General features: G+C 44.9%; 1 annotated feature.

The window, feature by feature from the left end:
* Positions 293 to 459: a silencer, noted in NCBI's record as "fragment chr2:119843263-119843429 (GRCh37/hg19 assembly coordinates)". NCBI's record gives its function as "represses an EF-1alpha promoter that drives an FKBP-Casp9 reporter gene in an ReSE screen in HepG2 liver carcinoma cells {active_cell/tissue: HepG2}" and the evidence as "EXISTENCE:reporter gene assay evidence [ECO:0000049][PMID:32094911]".

A 3,314-nucleotide genomic window follows, 5' to 3' on the forward strand; every position in this document is an offset into this window, starting at 1 on the left:
AACATCTGTGAAGTACTGGAGATCTTGCTGAGGATTTAGCCAGACATGCTTTTGACTTCTAGCTTTGGCATCTAGGAGCTGTGTGACCTCAGGAAGTTGCATAACCTGTCTCTGAGCCTCATCAATTAGATGAAGCTGGCAATACTTATCTCACAGTGCTGTTGCAAGGATTATTATTATTATTATTGTTATTATTATTATTATTTTGAGACAGAGTTTTTGCTCTTATTGCCCAGGCTGGAGTGCAATGGCCTGATCTCAGCTCACCGCAAACTCTACCTCCCAGGATCAAGTGATTCTCCTGCCTCAACCCCCCGAGTAGCTGAGATTACAAGCATGCGCCACCATGCCTGGCTAATGTTTTATTTTTAGTAGAGATAAGGTTTCTCCATGTTTGTCAGGCTGGTCTTGAACTCCTGACCTCAGATGATCCGCCCACCTCGGCCTCCCCAAGTGCTGGGATTATAGGCATGAGTCACTGCACCTGGCCCGCAAGGATTAAACTTAAAAGCACATGTAAAACACCAAGTGCAGTATCTGGCATATTGTAGATGATCACTAACAGTAATTTTAAAATTATTATTCTCATTTTCCCTGGATTTGTCTGACATGGTAGGACTACACTGGCCCTATTTTCTAAATAAACCAACAAAGGAGCAAATAAAGAGAAGCCAAGAGCAATCTGTTCTATGACAAAAAGAATAACAAATAGCAAGAAAAAACATCCACCTCCGGCCTGAGACAGCTGAGAGGACAAAGGAACATTCCAGGGGTACTGCCCCCGGCACCAAAGATAACTTCGTGGGTTAAAAGAGAAAAAAAAAAATGGAGCCTTTCAAAAGTGGTAAAGATTAGAGTGGAGATTGCATTTTAAAAACATCACTCTTGTTTAAAAAAAAAAAAAGACAAGAAATTAAAGCATTTGTGTTTAGGATGAAAAAAATAGCTAGTTTTATAATCTGCCATTTGGAAAATCAAATCTATATAAAGGAAGAAAGCTGTGAGCTGAGGCAAGAATGAGGTTTCTTGGCGACAGCTTCATTTATAAGTTTTGTGCAGCTCTTGAAGGTCACTTGTTCCAGGGACTTCATCCCACTTCGCAAACAGAAGACGAATCTGCAGTCCCTTCGGTGGAGCAGGTTATACAAGGAAACAATACATGTGAGAGGCAGCGGCACTCCTTAAGAGGTCTAAATTGAATTGCATTGACTTTTTACAAAGCCACAAATTGCTTATCTTATTCAAGTGCCTGAGTGTTTGCTTTTTGATGAGCTCGGTACAAAGATACCTTGAAGTTCGACAGTGGCTTCAGTCGCCCAATTTGAGCTGTCAGTGGAGGGGCTGGGGGCAATGCTTAGGGTACATGTTTTCTGAGCCTCCCTGCTTTCTGAATCCTTACCAAGGCCAAGGGAAGCAGAAAGGGGATTATCCTAAAAGATGATCCTAAAACAACAAGGTCTTATGAGGTTAGGCCCATTCTACCAACAAAATATATCTCCATCCAGCTCATTTCTGCAGATCAAATAAGATAACAGATGTGAAAATCAAGCAGTTTCTGGATCTAGGTAGTCAAGAAATAAAGACAGAGGAACAGCAATTCCAGCCAAATGTCACCTGTGCCTGAAGCTTTGTTTGTAGCAGCAGATTGTGGGGGCAGGGGAGTGAAATTAGGTGTTGGACTATCCGTGGCTCTCAATTTCAACTGCACAGCAGAGTCACATGGAAACTTCTTTGAAGCTTTCTGGCTATCCCTCAGCCAATTAAATCAAAATCTCTGGGTGTAAGGCTCCAGGCTTCATAATCCTATGCCACTGCCCTCATGACACTAAAAAGCAAATGAAGTTATAGACCAAGGAAAAAGGAGTAAAAAGAGGCCATGACTTGTCCCATTTGTTTCAGAAGGTTGGTGTTACTGAGTTTTATTGAGATGATGGCTACCATGTCGGGGGTGGGCGTAGGTGTAGTCACATCAGTGGCACCAGCAATGTCATTCCCCATTCATCAAAGAGACACCAGTGCTGGAAAGACATCGTCTGAAAGGCTGGAGAAGGGATGTTCTTAGTTTGGGGATAGTAGGGTATCTAGGAAGATCCCTGTGGGTGCTGGGGTTTGGATGACCTCTGGCACACAGGACTGGCCTCACCCGTGACTCCACAATTTGCATGAGCTACTCTTGCATTAAGGGTGAGGGGCCAGCTCTGTTTGCCCCATTTCCAGATGCTTCTACAGGGAGTTAGTGCAAACCCCTCCAATGACTTTTCCCTTGTCCAAAAGTTCCAAGGGCATTCATTCATTTAAAAGAATTTAGTGGGCCCATAACATGTACCATCACTGTGACAGATGAACGAGATGGAGACACCCCACACCAGCCTCCCTGGGGTTTACAGTCAGGGAAGGCTGGCCCCAAGGACATGGATACATCAACAGCAAATCCTCAGAAGTGGGCCTGGCCCTCTGGAATTGGTCCCACTGCTTCTCTCAGACCTTTCCATGCTTATCCTTGCGTCCCAGGGGCCACCTACCAAAGACATGTGATTTGATAAGAACTGCACAGGCTGCGCATTGCTGACTTCTTTTGCCGCTCGCTGGGCTGTGTGCTTGTTAGAAATGCTGAGAGATTATTAGCATTTACAGCAAGAATACATCTCTAATTGTAAAATTCAGGCACTGAGCTGAGAGAGTTCTTTGGAGACAGATCTGTTTTGGGGCACGACCTGAAGACTTCTAGAGATGGATGCATGGGTGGATGGAGGGACAGAGGGACAGATGGATGGATGCATGGATGGATGGATGGATGGATGGATGCATGGATGGATGGATGGATGGTAGATAAATCACAGGTAGGTAGTTGGATAGATGGCAAAGAAAGTATAGGAAGATCTATGAAGAGAGAACAATAGAAGTGGATAGTGTGGATAAATGGCAGCTAAATGATAGAAACACAATAGTTCAAAAATATTCCAGCAAGGCCGACCCACCCGTGATCTTCCAGCTCACTCTCTTCCACATCCCTTTGGCCACTTCTCCAGCTCGGTGCTCCCCTCCTGCCCTTTGGCAACTGTGCTACTCCACACATCTGAGTCCCAGAGGCCTTTCCTGACCTCACCTGGCTGGGTTGGATGAGATCTCCTCTGCAACAGACTGTGAACCCACCTCCATGCTAGCATTTACAATATTGCTGGCTACTACCTGTAGACCTGTCAGCCCCCTGTCTCCTAGACTGTGAGCCTTTTGAGGGTAGGGTTGTGATCTACTATCCCCACTGTATCCTGAGCACTTAGCTTGTCCAGTGTTGATGAAATGAACTCAGTACA

This window comes from Homo sapiens, chromosome 2 (genome assembly GCF_000001405.40).
Source record: "Homo sapiens chromosome 2, GRCh38.p14 Primary Assembly".
Lineage (NCBI taxonomy): Eukaryota > Metazoa > Chordata > Mammalia > Primates > Hominidae > Homo > Homo sapiens.